General features: G+C 37.3%; 1 protein-coding gene and 1 long non-coding RNA gene across 16 annotated transcripts in view, besides 1 other annotated feature; one reads left to right on the top strand and one right to left on the bottom strand.

Annotated features, from left to right (window-relative positions):
- TTC29-AS1 (TTC29 antisense RNA 1) overlaps window positions 1–12,489 on the bottom strand; it is a 41,452-nt gene extending 28,963 nt beyond the window's left edge. For 2 of the 3 annotated variants that reach the window (NR_188445.1, NR_188446.1), the window contains exons 1-2: window positions 12,156–12,489; window positions 3,502–3,647 (exon numbers count right to left, since the gene is read on the bottom strand). This is a non-coding gene — a long non-coding RNA (TTC29 antisense RNA 1). Of the gene's footprint in view, window positions 1–938; window positions 1,063–3,501; window positions 3,648–12,155 lie in introns of all 3 variants that reach the window. The other variant, NR_188447.1, reaches the window with a different exon arrangement.
- Window positions 497–636: a silencer, noted in NCBI's record as "silent region_15740". NCBI's record gives its function as "represses an Ori minimal core promoter by ATAC-STARR-seq in GM12878 lymphoblastoid cells {active_cell/tissue: GM12878}" and the evidence as "EXISTENCE:reporter gene assay evidence [ECO:0000049][PMID:35858748]".
- Window positions 629–19,988, top strand: part of TTC29 (tetratricopeptide repeat domain 29) — a 239,248-nt gene continuing 219,888 nt past the window's right edge. For 9 of the 13 annotated variants that reach the window (XM_006714339.3, XM_006714336.2, XM_005263270.2 and 6 more), the window contains exons 1-5: window positions 629–784; window positions 1,416–1,462; window positions 3,809–3,909; window positions 6,592–6,689; window positions 8,816–8,899. In XM_006714339.3, coding sequence (XP_006714402.1) covers window positions 3,838–3,909; window positions 6,592–6,689; window positions 8,816–8,899 — 254 coding nt within the window. In that variant the 5' untranslated portion in view covers window positions 629–784; window positions 1,416–1,462; window positions 3,809–3,837. Of the gene's footprint in view, window positions 785–1,415; window positions 1,463–2,159; window positions 2,397–3,808; window positions 3,910–6,591; window positions 6,690–8,815; window positions 8,900–19,988 lie in introns of all 13 variants that reach the window. The other 4 variants (NR_133922.3, NM_001317806.3, NM_031956.4 and 1 more) reach the window with 2 other exon arrangements.

Raw genomic sequence — 19,988 nt, 5'->3', positions numbered from 1 at the left:
TCTGAGAGAAGAGATGGAATGATGGGCCGAGATTAATACGATGATATTTATTTAGTGTAAATATAAAACCCTGAGTTTCAGGTAAAAATGCAAAACAAATAAGGACAGATGCAGGGAGATTCTCTGAAAGAGACCTTGAGTATTTAGCGAACCACAATTCAAAATTGAATTGTCTGTGGGGACATGACAGGAAAAGGCATTTGTGGTGGGTTCTGACTGCAAGAGAGGCTGAGGAAGAGGAGAATGAATGACTTAGCTAGATGGATAAATTGGCTTCAGGTCACGGGGATCATGAATGCCTAGCTCAGCGTTTTCCCATCAATCCTGTGGACAAAAGAGAAATGAAGAAAAAGCATTGAGAATGCAAGGCCACGAAAGAAATGAAAGTGGCAAATTCGAGCCTCTTGGGTTACGTGAAAATGCCTAAAAGCGAGCTAACTTCTGAAAGCAGCCCTGCTTGAAAAGCCTCAGCTATCTGGGGGCCCCGCCCGGCCGTCAGTAAGCTCCACCCCTCGCCAGACTCCGCCCCCAAGCCCGAAGAGTCTGGGAGCTGCCCCAATCCCGAGGCCCGGTTTAGCCTAACTCCACCCCCGGCCGTCATGCCTCGCCTCTCTGTTTCCGTGGAGACGCTCTCGGCGTCCCCTGTCTCCGCTCCGGCGGAGCCAGGCTTCGGAATCACTGAGAGAGGAGGGGGCAGCGCCAACGCCCAGCACCTGCCGCCGGTGGGGGACTGACTTCGGCGGAACGGAAAACTGGAGTTGTTTCCCTGGGCCAGTGCACCGAGGTTCGTGACGGCAGGGGCGAGGTTGGGACCGGACTTCCTCAGCTCCTTGGAGAGGCAGGCTGTTCTTCAGGCAGCCCCTTCCCTGACCCCTACAGCCAGCCCTTCCTCCATCAGTCTTTCTCAAGCTTCCTCAGTCCAGGCCCTCGCCACTTACCTCAATAAACGAATTGAAAGAGAAGTAGGGAAAGGCGCCAGTTCCTCTTGCTCCCCAGTTCACCTGACCCTCTGAGGGGAGTGAAAAACTAGGCATAGGATAAGTCCTTTAGTCCTGTTGAGAACTAGGTGGGAACAGAAAGGGAACTGAGATGCTCTCCGTTTTTGGCAAAGATAACTGTATCTCGTAAATTTGAGAGAACAAATGGTTATCCCTAATGTCACATTTGTATTGAAATACATCAATACATATACATATTTCAGATGTTTTGGCATTTCACTGATTTAGTGATTAGTTTCTCTCATAGGATCTATACTTGGGGATTTTCTTTAAAAGTTCATCTAAACTTAGATGGTAGGAAGTATTTGTTGTAAGAGTGAATCTTATTCCATGACTTGGAGCGGGGAGAGGAGTTACACTACTGAATGATTTTAAATTTTTCTTCTTTGCTATTATTCTTTGCTTCCTGATTTTCAGGCTGAAGTCTATAAGCCTGGAGAGACCATCAGCAGTAATCTGCAAATGTAAGTCACGTGAAATATGGCTTGCCTTCAAACTCATTTCCTGCTTGATTTTGTGATTTAGCCATCAATGTCAGCTGGTAGGAAATGTGTGTTTTCTATTTATTTTACTAAACAACCTATCTACCCATGAGAGAGTGCCAGAAGTGTCCAAAAATTATGATACCGAGAATAAACATTATTACTGACTCTTTATAAACTTAATTATGTTTTTTTTTTTACTTAGGGAGCATAATTAGTGATATTTCTTCTGTAGTTTTCATTAAACTTTCATAGTAAAAGAGCTTGGATAATATGAAAAGTTTTAATTCTTATGAATGATTTTTAGTAAAATCCTACTTGTTTTGAACTCGTGATGATGTATAATAAACTTGCTTACTGTGGTTTACTGGCTTTATTTCTCTAATCTCAGTTTTTACTCCAAAGTGACTGAACCCTGCAGACACTGGTCAGCCTCAGACATAGTCATTCTCCAAGTAGCCTCCATTTACATAGTAGTAGGTCTCCCTCCTTTGTGTTTCCTGATAAAGGCATCTCTGGGGATAGAGGGCAGGAGAGTTACTCTTTGAAGAATTTTACTTGGGGGCCAAAAATTTAAGCTCACACCATGGGACACATTCAGCCTGACCTAGCACTCTCAAACCTTTCATCCTGTATTTCTCCATTTTCATTTGTCTTTGCATGTGGGGGCCAAACTTAGAGATTGTAGCTGTGATACAAGAGCCAACCAGCAGATCAAAGAGTACACCAAATTTCTTCTGAATACCAACAGTGGAATGGCTTCAGGCGGCCTTTTGATCTTTGTCTCAGCACCCGATGATGCCACACTGTAGCACTGCCCACTTGCTAGCACTGGCGGAGGTTCCTGTGGGTCCTCCTAACAGGCTGATTCAGCCTGAGCTCCTGGGGCTAAGCTCATTTGGTAGCAGCCAAAGAGGTATCTTTCATTCTTCTTCTTTCTTACTCACCTGAACCTGAGCAATTTCCCTTCCTGCAGCCACACCATCTTGTGTGTTTTCCCCTGAGATGTTGATCTGGGAGAACCCTAAGGAGGTGCCATAACTAGTGGTGATATGCTCCATTTATGCTACAGGCCTGGGTCAGTCACCTCATAGCACTAGTCCCATTCTTCATTGTTGAGTCTAAATTGGAGCTCACATGGGAACTGAGAATGCTGTCTGACCAACACCAGGAAAATGATGCAACTCATATTAACAAAGACCAAAAGGCTTTCTTTACAGGTATTTAATTTAATGGAAGTACTGCAAACCCTGCTTGAACTTGTAAGGCATAAAAGATGGCAATTACTTAGATAAGAAACTAATTTGTTACAGGACCCCTTTAAATATTTGCTGCATTCAAAATATTAACTCTGTCATAAAATTCAGATCACACATTATCTGTTGTGTAAAACAAAATACCTTATGTGGCCACGTATTGATTCTGAGAAACAAAATTCACTTTCCCGATGGGCATAGGTAAGGTAGGATGTGGGGTTCAGAAACAAAGAGAAAGCCTGTTCAACTTCCATCCTGACTCTAAGCTTAAACTGTCCAACATAGATTGATTGAGGGATATTTTTTCCAACATGCTTTTTTTTTTCCACTTTATCATTCAGCTCTGATAACTTTTTTTCCACTTTATCATTCAGCTCTGACCACCCCCCATTCAGAGTTTGTGCCTTGAGGCTTGCCAGCAGGGCTTGCAGTACTTACATTAAACTAAATTTAAGAGTAAAGGTGCTCCTGCTGCTAATGTTCTCAGATCAGAGGAGAGCAAAATGAAGGAACTGGCAGCTGAAACTTTAATGGTAGGAAACGTTGACTCAGAATTTTGAAAAAAAAAAAAAAAAAAAAAAAAAAAAGCACAGTTGATCTGTATGACAAAGAAGACATATCCCTCTCCATGTATGTCATTTGCATTTGGTTTCTATTCCATGCTTACATTTTCTAACAAAAATCATCGAACTCAAGTAAACATCAAAAAGGATAAATTTTATATAACATGCTGGTATGCCAACTTTGGTGGGGAGTTATACGCACCTGGATGAGCTATCTTGGCTGGATCAGCACCTCTGGGGGCTGCTCTCTTTTATCTGTCTACAAATAGCTGGATGTTCTTAGTATTCAAGGAAATTGCAAGCACTGTTCCTCATTTTGAAGCTCCTGGGTGAACTCTTCAAAGACCCCTGCAATTATGAAGAGATTACCCTGGCCCCAGTGCCCACTGCATAATGCTTTGGCAAGTAAAGTGGGGCTTTTAGAAAAGAGTCTAAAATTTATAGAGGATGGAATGCCCCAAATGAGGCAAACTTAGTTGTTTTCTTCTCTCCCTTTTTAAATTTACTAGGGCTACACTGGTGTGGGTTAAGAACTTAGATGATTCCGATGTTCACTGTAACATTGGAAGACTCTGGAACTCTGTGGAAAAGTCTTCACAGCTCCTCTGAAGTAAGCTCTTGGGAGGCCCGTTTGGGGAGCTTTGGTGTCCCTTCAAACCTCACATGAGTTATAACTTCTTACCATATGCTCTGTATGATGCTGCCATTTAGTAAGTTCTTGTTATTCCAGTAACTCAACTGTTTAATATAACATCTAATCAGAAAAATAGATTTTTTAAATTAAAAAAATTGTCATTACGTTATGAAGTTATAAAGGGTAATATAGTATGTTTCTAATGTTTAGTCTGTAGGAGAGGACTAACATTTGCTGTTTAGATTGTGCACTTTAAAGCATAGACCCTTTAAAGGGTAGACCCTTTGCTTTCCAATTAATGTTCATTAACTTCCACTCTTAATGCCTTAACTGCATAAAATAAGTGGGCATTTTGTTTCATAGATCATATCATGCCTTGATAAACTGGTAGTACTAGGATTCTGTTATATTTAAAATAAACCACTGATCTCCATTAGAATTCTCTTTAATTATGTAAAAAATTATTTTTAGGCCAGGATAATAATCTTTTTCAGTAACACAAAGCTGTCTATTTCTACACTGAATTTCAGAAGATTTTCTCTCGTCTTAGTGCTTCTGCACCCCTACCTCCACCATGGCTTTGTAGCACTAGAGGAATATTGTGTCTTAGCTATCCACAGGTGGTTCTATTTCAGGTTTGACTACATCTCTCCTTCTCTACTCCTACCTAAGCCACCACTCTCTCTCCCCTGTATTTCACAGGAGGTTTTGGGCTGGCCTCTCTGCTGTCTACCCTTTCCCCCACTACAGTCTAACCTGAAAGAAAAACTCAGAGTGATTTTTTCAGGATGCAAGTCAGATCGTGTCAATTCTATGCTCTGTATCCTCCAATGGATTCTTACCTCAATAAGAATAAAAGCCAGTTTTTAGAGTAACCATCAAGACATTACACTATTGGGACACCGAACAAAATTCTCCATAACGTCTTTGAGCTTGTCTCCTTCTGCTTTTACTCATCCCTTTGCCATTGGTGAGCATCTGGGTAGTTTCTAGTGCTCTGCTTTGTTTTCCAGCAGAGAATCTTATCAACATCTGAGGTTCTATATATTTTGCTTATTTGTTTAGTGTCTTTCTCCCTATTTACCCCCATACTGCAAAGTCTGTGAAATCAGAGAGTTTTGTCTTTTTCTTCACTGCTGTATCTTTGGCACCTAGAACAGTGCCTGGCACCAAATAGGAGCTCATTAAATATCTGCTGAATATATTCAAGGCCCAGATTTTATTGTGATTTTCCCTGGGTCACACAGGTAGTAATGCTGAAGATAAGCCATTTAAAACCTAAAACAAGCCTTTCAGCTTCTTGGTGAAGCTAAGAGTACAGGTCAAACCTGGTGGACATAGACGGGGTGGGATCAGGAGCCCCTGGCCTTTTGGATGCCTCTCTATTTAACAGAAGCATGGGTTCTTTTGTATCTGACAGCCCTTGCACCATGTAACAATTTTTCTATTCTAAGTTCACAGATGTCATGTCCACACTTCTTCCTCTTTGGAATAGGATTTAGATAATTTGATTTTATAGACTTGCCTTCCTAATTGCTCACCACTCTGGCACACTGCATTTTCCAAAAAGGGCTGCAATAATATCTCCCATGCCATATTCTTTTATTATAATGAAACTTTGACACTCTCCTATCAATAGGTGGTTCTGTATTCATTTGCCTTGAATCTGGGTGAACTTGTTATTACAGTAGAAGTGGATGCTATGTGACTTCCAAGGTTAGACCCTAAAAGGGGATAAAGCTTCTGCCTGGCTTTTCTCTAAAATACTTGCCTTTGGAGCCTGGAGCTGCTATATAAGAAGTCTTAGGTTGCCATGATGTGAGGGAGTCCATGCCACATGAGGAGACCACATGTGTGAGTTCTGGCAGATAGCCCCAGTTGAGTCCCAGCTAACAGCATCAACCACTAGAAAAGTGAGTGAAGACACTTCAAGGTGATTCCTGTCCCCTGTCATTGGGTTACTACAGCTTCTGAGTTTTCTCAGCAGAGGCTCCCATCATCATGGAGGAGAAAAAATCCATGCCTATGATACCCTGTCCTTATTCCTGAACCATGTAAAGTGTGAGATAAAGTTGTTTTAAACAACTTTTAAAAAACAGTACATTTTGAAGTGATTCATTATATTGTTATGGCTGTGTGCTTTCTCAGGGTAGCTGTCTCCTTGTTGAGAATTGTTCTTATCATCTATCACATCTAAGGGAAAGCCTTTATTTGTGAGCGATAAGGCTTTTAGAAAACAGCAAGTATAAGCAATTTTCAATTATTGATTGTAACAGGAAAGCAACACATAAACATTGGAAATCCATAGCTATCCTTAAAATCTTTATTCTTTAATTGCAATCATGTCCCTTACAAAACTCTTACCAAAGATGCCAACTGAACCATCAATGCATTTATCAAATTTTCTTCTTATCTACTTTGTGCTGAAGATACAGACAAATAATAAGTTGGCCAAAAAGCAGACAATGGAAGAAAATAATGAGAGAAGCAACCTGCAGAATCCACTCACTGAGCATGATTCCCGAATAACACAGCTGTAGCACTACACATAGGCATTCTCAACTAAGATGACAGACTGTAAATCTCTAATAATGTCTTAAAGGATCCTTTGAAAGATTTATTCCTTAAAATACAATTTCTACTTATTTCTTTTTGTAGTCCGAAATGACCACCCTGCCCCCACTGCCCATGACACGCCCGAAGCTTACAGCCTTAGCCAGACAGAAGCTGCCTTGCTCCTCCAGAAAAATTCCAAGGTACGTGCCCCTGGTTTTTACTTATTTTCCTACAGAAGGAATTTTCTGTAATAAGAAATGTCAATAATGTATCTCAGAAAATAAAATCATTTCAAGAGAAGAGAAAAATGCCTTGTTATATTGAGAATATTGAAATCTGCTGTTTCAAAAGGATTTATGAACCACATTCAAATACTGCAAATATATTTATTTATTTATTAACCTAGTGCTTATTTCATCATTTTATTTCCTGTTGCAATTATATCATGGTTCCCGTAGAGTTTTGGAGATAAGTTTCCTGTTTTAAATGTGTATGGAGAACAGAAAGCAGAAGCTTTGGGAATGAAAGGTGTAAAGCTTTTTTCTTTTTAAGGCAGAGTCTTACTCTGTCACCTAGGCGGGAGTGCAGTGGTGTGATCTCAGCTCACTGCAATCTCTGCCTCCTGAGTTCAAGCAATTATCGTGCCTCAGCCTCCTGAGTAGCTGGGACCACAGGCACGCAGCACTATGCCCAGCTAAGTTTTTGTATTTTTAGTAGAGACAGGATTCACCATGTTGGTCAGGCTGGTCTTGAACTCCTGGCCTCAAGTGATTCACCCGCCTTGGCCTCCCCAAATGCTGGGATTGTAGGGATGAGCCGCCATGCCCAGACTGAAAGGTGTAATGCTTTTAATCTACAAGGTCCCAAGGGCTGACTTCTGTTTTGGAAGAAGGAGGGTAGAGCCTTACTTGTAGGGTAGATTGGCAGGCAAGAATCAGCTCCTGAAATGATGCTGGGGCTTGAAAATGCATCATCAAACTGCTGCTGCCCATGAATGGCTGCTGAGCTACTCAAATTGTCACTGAGGAAATGCAGGACAGAGAAATTGATACATTTTGTCATAATTATCATATTAACTGATTGTGCTATTTTGAAATTGCCATTTGTAATTCTATTGACTTTTAGTAACATACATATTAGTTACCAATATAAATAGTTTGCATACGTAGGTTTATTTTCTTTATATGCCTACTTTTCCATTCCTGCAAGGCATAATGATCAAAGTATTAGGAGGTTTCTTTGTTCTCATGCCTCATTTTTAGTATTTCTAGGAAATACCAAAGCCCCTGGAACAAAATAAATACATTCAGCTAAACTAACATAAAAATTCTTTAAAAATAGTAAATCAAAATTTTCTTTTCCTATAGCGGAGAAATCTTTCAATGAATGCATAATTCATGTGTGTACACTATAATATATATACATACATATTTTTGTTTTACTTTTGAATAATGTAAAATATTTATGAAGTCTGAAAAAGCTTATTCTTTCTGTCTTTTTAAAGGATTTAATTTATATTTTGTTTTCAAGGTGAGCAAAAGCATAGCCAAATCTCATATCCTTAGGTTAGGATGAGTTTTAAAGAAAACGTTTTCTTGTATTCATTTTATTGAAGAAAAATATTTTTATCATACCCACAAAAGGCAAAGTTTGTATCAACATTCTTTAATAGCTTCTGAATAAAACACTGATATTTGTTTAGTTCCATATCAATCATCATAGTTATGAGAGGTTGATAGCATGCTTATTTTTAAAGGTGCAAAAGGGTGTGAAGAATGAACGCACTACAAGTATAATACATTTTCAATAAGGGCTTCTTAAAATCATTTTGCACCTTGAACCTTTAATAATTTGAGTTTTATGTGTGATTAAAAAAACTATTCAAAGAACATTTCAGGACAAAATTGAGTAATGTTTGGAATAAATTCACGTTACACATTTGAATCAAACAGGTGTTCTTGGCTCAGGATTCTGTGCCAAACAATATATAACTTCAGCAGTTGGAAAGTTACACCACGAAAAAATGTGAGCAAAATAGAAGGTCTTGTAAGCTTTGAGAAGACTCTTGAGTAGAAAGTGAATTATTTCAAGGTGTTGGTGTTTTATTTGTTTACACACTGGGTTTAATATTCTTCCTTATCATTTTCCATTCAGGAAAGATAAAATTTTGAAATGATCAACCAACGACCTAACTCTATAGCTATTGCGTTTATTACATATGGTATTATACCCTGAATATTTCTATTCTCCTGGTGGCATTTTATGTGTTTGGTAGCTTTTCAACTTGATAAGGCTGTGCTTTATTATTTCTTTCTATTTCATTTAGGTCTCAATTGATCAAAGAAAAAGATGACATAGATCATTATCTAGAGGTAAATTTCAAAGGATTATCAAAAGAGGAAGTTGCTGCGTAAGTACAACCTTTAAAGGTACTTTAATATAAAGTTTGTTTCTTTTGTCTTGATTCTTTATTGAAATTTCAATTTTCCTGTGTAATATACTTTTTCATTGGAACATGGCATTTAAAAATTAAAGCTCATATTAAATAGTGATAAGTCATGTCTATTGATCTCACACATATCAAAGTCTTTAATTTTATGGCTCTCAAAATTCCCATATTTACCAAGATATTATACTATCACATTTGCAATATTTAGTTAAGTCTGTGCTATTAATTGCTTGTTAACCTTCATTTTAAGGTGTGTTGTCTCCATGGGAAAGAAAAAAGCTTTAAGAAACAGATTTATATATCTTTTCTCCTGGTGATTAAAGAAAAAGAAACACCTTACTAATGTACTAATATGTCTCCTTTTCCACCCAAGCACTCACAAAAGAACCAATGGATCATACTTTATTGGTTAATTTTTAAATAATTCCAAATTGTCTAGATTTATTTTTTAGATGAACGATACAAACTTTGACATTTTATCACCAGTTAGAATCTAATTTATGGGATGAATAAAAGCAGTACAAAAATCAATGTAGGTTAGTGAGAAATGAATAGAAACTTAGAATAATAGCTAAACAAGTTTAATATTTCTTACCTATACTTAGTGGCTCTGTTATCACATCTTTTCATGTAAGTATTGAAAAATGGAAATCTTGTAAATTTACACGTATCTTATGGAATTCATTAATTGTTTCAATTAAAATATTTTATGCAACAAATGTTTGTAAAAGATTCTCTCTATTAATTTGTCTAATGCTGTGGGATTCTACTGAAAGGGTGTTGCTAATGATATTTTGGTGTAGGTTTGATATATTCTAAAGTTCTAAGTCTCTTGGTGTTTTCCATTTTATCAGATATTATCTTTGTCAATTTGCATATAACATGGAAAAACACAGTCATTTATTTTGTCAATAACTACTTTATAGAATGACAAAATTTTACAGTAGCTGTAATCACTCACTTCTGCAGAGCTCTATAGACTACCATGTATATGGTACGTGGGATTTTTGGCTAAATGCTATTCTGATGATTAATTATTTAACTTTCCGTGATAAACTGTTAGATAAAATTTAAGGCCAATATTGTATTATAGTACAACTACTTCTTAAAAGAAAAATATATGTATGCCGTATTTGGATTCTGATTTAAATATTATATCCAAATAGTTTTAATTGGCTTAATAATTGGAATTAAATTAAAAACTAAACATGCTACACATAATTTCAACAAACTAGAAGTCCATATACTAAAAGTCTACTGACATTTAAGTTTTCAGTGCAGGCTGAAGAAAAATTTTATCTAAGACAATGCAAAATAGGCTATAGTGATGAGTATTCTCTTAATATTATTTTTCCACTAAAGATACTGCCAAATTGATTTCAAATTCATCATTACACTATTGACAACAGTAACTCTGGGTAATTCTCAGGCCTTACTACAATATTCTCCTTAAAGTTTCCTGCACTTCAGTGCTTTCTTAGACCAAAGCTCTTTCTGTAAGATAGTGGATGCAAATCATTAGTATGGAGATAGCTTGTACACAGGTCATTATTATGCTTTTGATTGATACACATTCTAGACCTTGCCCTAGACAGACTAATTGAATAGCATAAAAAGGAGAAAATTGATGAATGATTTCAGCATCTCCCAGCAATGCCCAGCAGGTGCCATGAAGAATTATGCATAGTCTGTTAGCCAGGGAATTACTGCATCAAACTCTTTATAGCCATTCAGCTCTAAAAAGATAAATTGATCAACAAACATTTATTAAGTACTCACTTTATATCTAATACTAGGTTTTTCACAGTGGGAGAGACAATGATATTTTATTGTAAAATACTTGGCCCCATCCTGGAGCCTTAACATCTATTTGAGACAATAAGACCTATGAGCAGGAGACAAATATGAAATGATCGAGTGCCGGCTGTACCGTGAGGTGCAGCCTAGAGGTCAAGAAAAAATCAGAGAAGACTAAGACGATAGGATAGAACTTCTCAAGGAAAATAGATTTTGAGTTTGGCTCCCTGTCTGGTTGCATTATAAAATTATCTAACTGGTAGTCATAGATCTTCAGTATATGAAAATGTAATGGGTAGAAATGGAAGAATCAAATCAGGCAAAAACAATGTCTAAGATATATCCTCAAATCCCTCTCTCTACTGCCTTATTCGTGTCTTTAAGATGGTGATCGATATATTTGTGTATACTCATTAATACAATTGATGTACACTGGCTTTGATATCCCATAGTACACATATGCTCTGTCTAGTTTCAAAATAACCTCTCATCATGTACCCCAAAATATGCCAACCTAAACTCACATGCTGTGACTTTCCTCCCAATGCGATGGGTGGAGAGTTCCTACTGTCATCTAAGCATGGTCCCTCTGCTTGTGCTCTGCATCTCATCCCCTTACCTGCTCCCAAGACTTAACCTCCTGCAGTTAAATTTGCTTTTCTCCTACACCATCAATTTCTCCTTTTTCATTGGATCGATCTCACTGGTATTCATTTCTACTCAAACTTTTTTCTTGACATCTTATCCCCTTCCAGGTTCTACCCCATTTTGATCTACCCAAGACAGCAAGAAAAGTGCTGTCTTAATATTTTCACATTTCATTTTTGCCTCAGTTGACTCTAAATAGGTTTCCAGCCCCCATACTTACTGAAATGCCTCTTTAGGGTCACCCATGACCCCTATTTTTATCACATCTAATAGTTATGTTTCTGTTCCCAGCTTCCTAGATGTCTTCACAGCATTTGACCAAGTTGAACGCTCTCATCTTCTTGAACATTTTGTGCTTGTGACTTTCGGGATGCCATATTCTGTGGTTTTTCTCCACACTGGAGCACTTCAGTCTTCTTTGCAGGCTGCTTTCTCTTTCCAAACTCTCAGTGGTGAGGTGCCCAAAGGCTGGGTCCTAGGTGCACTTCAGCCACACTCTCAACCTGGACCCAGTCTTACAGCTTTAAACATTAGCAATAACCCAACGGCTACTCAATTTATAAATCCAGCACTGGCCTCTCCATCAAGCTGAAAGTTTTTAGATCCAATTGCCTCCTTGATGTGTCTACTTGGATATATCACAGACATCCCAAGGTTAATATAACCCAAAACTGGACTCTTGCTTCACCCCTACTCCTCTCTTATCCCCAATATTCGTCCCACAGCCTTTCCTCCATTCAGCAAATAACATCAAGGCAGCCTTGAGTCTTACCTTGCTTACTGCTACCCCCCTCTAATCCATCAGTATGCCCGATCAGCTACAACTCCAAAATGTATCCCGTGTTCATCTCCTGGTCTTCATTGCAGAGCTGCCATCATGTCTGCTAAGATCGCTTAAATGGTCATATAACTGCTCTTCCCACACCCACTCTCACTCCACCACACTCCTGCTAGAGTGGTCTTTTGAAAACATTAGATCATGACATTCCCCTGCTTAAAATCTGCCAATAGCTTCCCATTCTTCACCTGACCTGAAGCTGTGCATGGTCTGGACTTTACTGACCTCTCTGACCTTCTCTCTTTCTCTCCACCACTCTCTACTCCCAATGTGGCCTTATTGCTGACACTTCTTCTTATGCAGGTGTCAACTTGAATGTGACCTCCACAGTGAGCCGTTTCTTGACCTCATAATACAATGTAAATGAGTAAGCAAGCAGGATAAGCTAACATGTAGTTGTCACTGGAATGGCCAAACCCAAGTGATGGGGGTTTATTTTACTTGGGAATGGTAGAATCGTTCAAAGGCAAAAGGCTTCTGGGTTTTGTATCATCTACCTTCACAGAAGAAATTTCAGTATGCTTCGTTACTTTCTAAGTGACTAGATTATTGTTGTGCCTTATAGGTGCATTTAAAAAAATCAAATCCATTGTATTCACATTCCATATTTGATAATGATGATTTGACTTTAAACTTCAAAGTCAAATTTGACTTAGCAGTGAACTTCAAATGGTTCACTGCTACTATCTAACTGATCTTTAACAAGTACAGACAGTCATGTCCGAAGAGTTTCTGTACTTCTGTACTTCGGATTTTTAATTCTGTATAATATTATCAGAATGCATTATTGTTTTCAAAAAGAACTTAAAATATCACTTATTATCATATCATAATTACTTTGAGTAGCTAAGTAATAAAAGAGTCATTTATAGATTCAAATAAACATTTCTAGAGGGCACTTTACAGCTTTAGCTATGTATGTGAGGAAACAAAATCATCTGGGGACAGAGTGTGTTAATCTGCTCAATATTATTTTCTGCTTCAGATATGAAGTTCTATTATGCAGAAGGATATATTTGGTTCAAAATTGTGGGCATCTCTAAGATATTACTTTCTTTCCGAACATCTTATTTTTAGCATCATCAGTGGATGTTTATTGAGCATCACTTTGTCAGCAAGCTTAGTGGCAGTTAGGACTGTTCATTACTATATTCAGTGAGTTTGGGCTGTAAAGAAACAAAGAACAATTTACTTCATATCTTTTTTTTTTTTTTGAGACGGAGTCTCGGTCTGTCACCCAGACTGGAGTGCAGTGGTGCGATCTCAGCTCACTGCAAGCTCTGCTTCCCAGGTTCAAGCCATTCTCCTGCTTCAGCCTCCCAAGTAGCTGGGACTACAGGCGTCCGCCACCACGCCTGGCTAATTTTTTTTGTATTTTTAGTAGAGACGGGGTTTCACCATGTTGGCCAGGATGGTCTCTATCTCCTGACCTTGTGATCCACCCACTTCAGCCTCCCAAAGTGCTTGGACTACAGGCGTGAACCACCGCGCCTGGCCTACTTTCATATCTTTTAAAGCCTTTTTCTCCTGCCTCATTTTGAATTGTATTATACTTACTCAAAGTAAATTAGTGTTTTGCCAGTCCACATTTTGTTTTTTGCAGATTAGGTTTTTATCTTGAATCTCAAAATTTTTGTCCAAAGATGCTTTTATGAACTACAAATATACTTTTTATATGCAAATCTACCTTCTGGATTTGCACAATGCCCTGGCACTCAAACATATGGAGCAAGATGAAGCCATTTATTTAAGATACAATATTTCATAATTCTTTATTGGAAGTTAGATCCTTTCAAGTGTGCTCTTCCTCTGCTTCATTCATTTTTGTTTACTTTTGAAAATGTTTGTGAAATCATTTTGGTTTCTCTTAAAAAAGTTTGCTCTTTGGTAAAGTAATAAATTCTCTATGGAGGTTTGTAAATTAACTTCCTGAAGAAGTCAGTTGCCAAGCAAATGTTTACATGACTAATCTCCAGATGAGACAGAGATAGGTGGGCAGGAGAAGGAAGAACCCCTGTTTCCTGCTAGGAAAAGAAGATTTTGGTGCTCTAAAATGAAGAGAAAATTTCTTCTTTCTCATGAATTTTTTTAAAAATAAGCGATTACAGAGAATGCAGATGGGAAGAGAGAAGGAATTGCCACTTCTTTTTGAAAAAATTCTGGCATTGTCTTCGAGATCAGATCTCTAGGATGTGAAACCAGGAATGAAAAGATCGTTTTGCCATGATTTAAAGGAAAAGGAAGAAAGAAAAGAAAGAGAAGGAAGGGAAGAAGAAGAAAAAGCAGAAAGAAGAAGGGGGAAAAGACTGATATCAGTAAAGTTTAAAATTGGGGAATTTAAAAAATGTAGTTGGAAGGAGCTTTTTTAAAAACAAAACAAGACAGAATAAAACAACAATGTTCACTAGGTACAAAAAAATGGTCTCAAATTTTCACCAAAACCAAATATAGAGATAAAAGAAAAGATTTCAAATGTCAACAGAACATAGAAATGCCAAGTTCTTAGGCGTTTATATCTTTGTGTCCTTTAGGAGTTTGCTTTAAAATGCTATTTTCACATATGGTGTTTAAGCTTACCAGCTCTAATAGACATTAAAAAAAGATGTCTCTAAGAGGAAAGCATGGGAATCATGACTAGCAGCTCTGGCTATTATAGGAGCTGATTCCTTCTGTGGTTGAAAACTTGGCTTTGTTATGTAATACCTGTATTGTCTTAAGGTTACCTGCTTTCTCCAATCTTTGCTTTCCACAACTATTTGGAGAGCATACTAACAAGAAATTCTTACAAGAAGTAAATGAGATTCTCTATATGAAACACGTGTAGACGACACTCAATTCAGACTATTATTAATTATCATTGCTCATTTTTCTTTGGCTTTTAAGCATTTATTAATAGTATAAATAACCTAAATATTTTGCATTAACTTAATGTGTTGATTTATGTAGTGATATTAATTTATCATTTCTCTTTATGTATAGTTATATCTTTTGCTTCGTACTAAGTATCATTTTCATCATGTTCTAAAGGCAGAGTTTTAAATAACATATATTTCAAACTTATAATACTAATCAGTGAGGGGACTTTTTTTTTTGTAGAGACAGGGTCTCACTATGTTGCCCAGATTGAACTTCAACTCCTGGCTTCATGCAGTCCTCTCACCTCAGCCTCCCAAAGTGCTGGCATTACAGCTGTGAGCCATCATGCCCAGCCAGTTTTTTTAAGAAAATTTCAAGTTGTAATAAAAACTTTTCAGAAATGTACAGATAAACTCGCAGTTTTAGAAATACAAAGAATATAGCTGAAGGATGTGGTTCTTCCTACAATAGCCCGTAAACCACAGTGCAAAATGCACTTCTCTATTTAAAAACCATTTGGGAAATTCCTTTTTCAGTGTCATAGGACAAAGTGATAAATAAAAAAAGATAAAAGGAGACAAGCACACAGGTACCACAGAGGATGAATCAGCCAGAACTGTCAGTCAGTGGGATAAACAATGATCCAGCCACATCACTCTCAATGTATGGGGCAAGATGGTTTTATTATGTTGAGTTTTGTCTTTGATAGTGTCTTCTTTCTGTATTAAGAAAACAGGGAAGATTAAAAACTATTTAGACCCTTTTCAAGTCTCCATTATGGCTAAAAAACAATCCTTAAAATTACTGAGGTTACTGCAACTATGGAGAAATCATCTCCCTGGCCTATACCCGTATCCTGTTCTGTTTTCTATATTGGAAATTGGAGATGTTGTAATAACCAGCATCACCATCTCACTGTTTAAAGCAAAACCAAGTTATGGATTCACAAGAACTCTTTTGCTTCACCAGGGTTTCCACAGATATTACCAGACCAGGGACTTTTCTGGGAAGCTTAATCAGGTGATGCCCACCTCCAGATTAGAAGGGAACAGCATTATCATTCTCTTTTATTTTTATTTTTTAATTCTCTTTTAAAATAAAAGCATTTAAATGTCTAGTTATAAGAAATAAAAAAGAGAATATAAGTTTGTAGGAGATGCTTTTCCTTGATAGTTTTTATTATTTGGAAGCTTTTAAAACTTCATGTTTGTATTTCAGTGATTCTCTGAGACCATTTAAAATATGATCACCCTTTCTTTGATCTAGGAAGGCAACTTATCAAGATATATATGTGTGTATATATATATATATATATATATATATATATATATGCACACACACATACAAATATATGTAGTGTGTATCTTCATAAATATATATATATATATTGTATGTGTGCATGTTTGTGTGTATATATGTATGTGTGTATTAGCATCTTCAAGCTCTGTGCTTTAACTATTAATCCCAATTTTCTACATACCACTATATAAAAATCTTTCAATATATTTTAAGTGCTTCTCTTTAAACCAAAGTGTAAGCATGTTAAGTCATATTAAATACAGGCATACCTTATTCTATTGCACTTTGCTGTATTGCACATCACAGATACTGTATAGCTAGAAAACCCAAATAGAGAAGCTTCTTCCTCTTCTTCCTTGCAATCCACACAGTGCAGGCAAAACTTGACAGTTCCTTCATAAGAAGAATATCAGGAACACATCACTAATTCAGATGTCAGATTTATATTAACCAACATCAGTATATGCATGCAAACCTTGACACAACAAAGAAAAGCTCCAGAAAAATAGCCTACATATTTTACTGTAAGGAGGGCTGTGGAGGCATCCTTAGGCCAAGTCTGTCGACTTAGACATGTATATAAAATTAGGTTTTCTTATTTAACTAGCTTGCCTATATTGCTTTTCATGGAAGCATCCTGTTTTTCCTACTTTAGGTAAATTAAATTTGTAAGGAAGAAGCTAAAATACTGAAATACTAGCTGACATGGGGAAGATAAAATAATTGGCCACTGTGAAAAGGACAGACTGTCTGGGGACAAGGGCAAGGCATGACTGGGCCCTGCAGCCACCCTTTTCAGTGTATTTACATTGTGTTGAAATTAAATAACAGAATTCATAACAAAGCATTTTTTTGTTGACCTTACTCTGTTTCATATGGCAGGGAAATGAATAATATATTTTAGAAAAGTTTTAATTATATGTTTTGCTTTATTAGTTTTTGTTTTAGTCTAGGTTTATATATTGAAAGATTTGTGTTGCTGGAAAATTTCCAATGTTGATTGCCTCTGTCCTTAAATTAATACAAATTGTTTATTAATTTACTTATTAATTAATTACTAGAGTATCTTCCAAAACTCTTAGATGATCAATAAGAATCTTTCCAAATCTCTTTTATGCTTTTTGGATTTTTAAAAAATTCCCTTCACATTGTTCCTAAGGGATAAAAGTTATTTGGTCAGAATAATTTCCAAAAAGCCTAAATTTTCTTCTAAGTATGCTAGGAAACCTTTGGCTCATTTTATGCAGGGAAATGATATGATATCACTTTATTTTAAAAGGATCACTCAAGGCTGTTGTGCTCTGTAGATATTTGACTGGGGAACACCCCAAGCAAAAGACATTGGTGGCTTGATCAGGGCAGATGTAGTAGAAATGATGAGAAGTGGTCTAATTTAGAATATATTCAAGTGACAGAGAGATCAGAGTTTACCGACGGAGTAAACATGGGAACTTAGTAAAGGAATAGATAAAAAATGACTCCTTCTGAACTGACCTGAGCAACTAGAGGGATGTCTTGTTCACTGCTGAGTCTCCAGCACCTATAACAGTATCCACATAGTAGGCACTCAAGAAATACTTTTTAATTAAGGCCAGTCTCATCCCAGCCTGTGCATACTGTTTCCAGGTTTAATTCCTTCCATTCCTGCTTTGAAATTCATCTTCTTGCAAAAATAATAGTAATGACTAATATTTGTAGAGCACTTTCTATGTTTCAGGTATTGTTTTAAGTGCCTCATATGTATTCATTCATTTAATTCACAAAAAGTATTTATTAGTTCAATTTACAGCTAAAAATTGATGCACAGAGATACTAAGTAACTTTCCCAAGGACACACACATAATAAGTAGAAGAGCTGACTTTGAATCTAGGCAGTCTGGGTCTAACACTCATTTTTGGAGCATTATACCATTCTGCCTCTGAAAATACTCAGGTCTTCATTAAACTGTGTTTTCTCTCATCTCTCATTCTTAGTGTATTTCCATTCTCTTGGCCTAGAATGATTTTTCTCCTTACTGTCTCATGATTCTTACTCATTCTTAAATGGCTCGACTGTATTAGATAAACTTGCTACTATCTTGTAATCTCCAGTGCACTTATAGCACTGTATTGCCATTGCAATACAGTATAATTGTTTCCTATACTTGACTACAAGCTTCAAGAGAGCTGAGGCCATTGCTGCTCTGCTCGTATGTGCATCATTGGTACTCTATTCATACAGTGCTTAGCTCACCTCACAGGAATGAGAACCCATGATCTTTTACCCCTTCATAGCCTTGCACATGTGTTCTGCCTGGAAAACCCTCTGCTTTCTCTCATGCCTTGTGTACTGGGCAAGCTTTTATCTTCCAGCTTCAACTTAACAGTTTCCTGCTTTGTGAGGCCTCCTTTGAAACACTTGGTAGAGAGCAGAACTCCTGTTTGAACTATCTTGATGGCCATTGACAGTCATGTACAAGTGTTTTATTTCCCCTTTATTAATATTTAACATACTATAGTATGTTCTATACTATGCATGTATATACTATGTACGTATGTTGTATGTATGTATTATAGTACAGATAGTATATAGATTGTGACTCATTAGTGGGTAGTGATTTTGACCCATTGGTTTGGGGGTCATGGCCAGGATTTAAAAAATGGAAAGAGAGTGTAGACAAATAGGATAGAAAAGAATGCATTGCATAGAGGAAAGCTAAATATTGGGAGGCTGCCACGTATAATGGAATAGAGCATGAATTTTTAAACCATACTCTCTGGTCTCCAGTCCCAGATTTACTCTCATTAACAAAGTAAATGGTTGACTTTGGGGAAGTTACTTAACCTTTCTGTACTTCAGTTACCTAATCTGAAAAAAATAATGATAATAGGACCTGTTTCCTAAAATAGTTATAATTAATTGAGTTAATAATTATAAACTGATTGGAACATTTTGCATATTTGTGCTTTTAAATATTGGTTTAATATATTACACTCACATTTATACATGTGCTGAACTGCAATGTAAGTGTCTTTTTTTTTCTTTTTTTTTTTTTTGAGATGGGGTCTTGCTCTGTTGCCCAGGCTGGAGTGCAGTGGCGCAATCTCCACCTCCTGGGTTTAAGCAATTCTCCTGCCTCAGCCTCCTGAGTAGGTGGAATTACAGGTGTGCACCACCACACTCAGCTAATTTTTGTATTTTTTCTTAATGTGGGTTGTCATAAGGAATGAACTCTGCTCTAGACTGGAGTCTTTGAAAGCAAGGATTGTGTTTTCTTCACCTTTTAGGCCTCTGACTTACATAAAATAACACTTTTTTGCTTGTTGACTTTCTTTCCAGAATGGATTAAAGAAACTTAAAGTTAAAACTTTGTAGGCTGGACGTGGTGGTTCGCGTCTGTAATCCCAGCACTTTGGGAGGCCGAGGTGGGTGGATCACCTGAGGTCAGGAATTTGAGACCAGCCTGGCCAACATGGTGAAACCCTGTCTCTACTAAAAATGTAAAAATTAGCCAGGCATGGTGGCACGCACCTGTAATCCCAGCTACTCAGGAGGCTGAGGCAGGAGAATTGCTTGAACCTGGGCAGTGAGCCAAGATTGCACCATTGCACTCTCCAGCCTGGGCGACAAGG

This window comes from Homo sapiens, chromosome 4, assembly GCF_000001405.40.
Source record: "Homo sapiens chromosome 4, GRCh38.p14 Primary Assembly".
NCBI lineage: Eukaryota > Metazoa > Chordata > Mammalia > Primates > Hominidae > Homo > Homo sapiens.
This window is presented reverse-complemented; position numbering and strand designations above follow the sequence as displayed.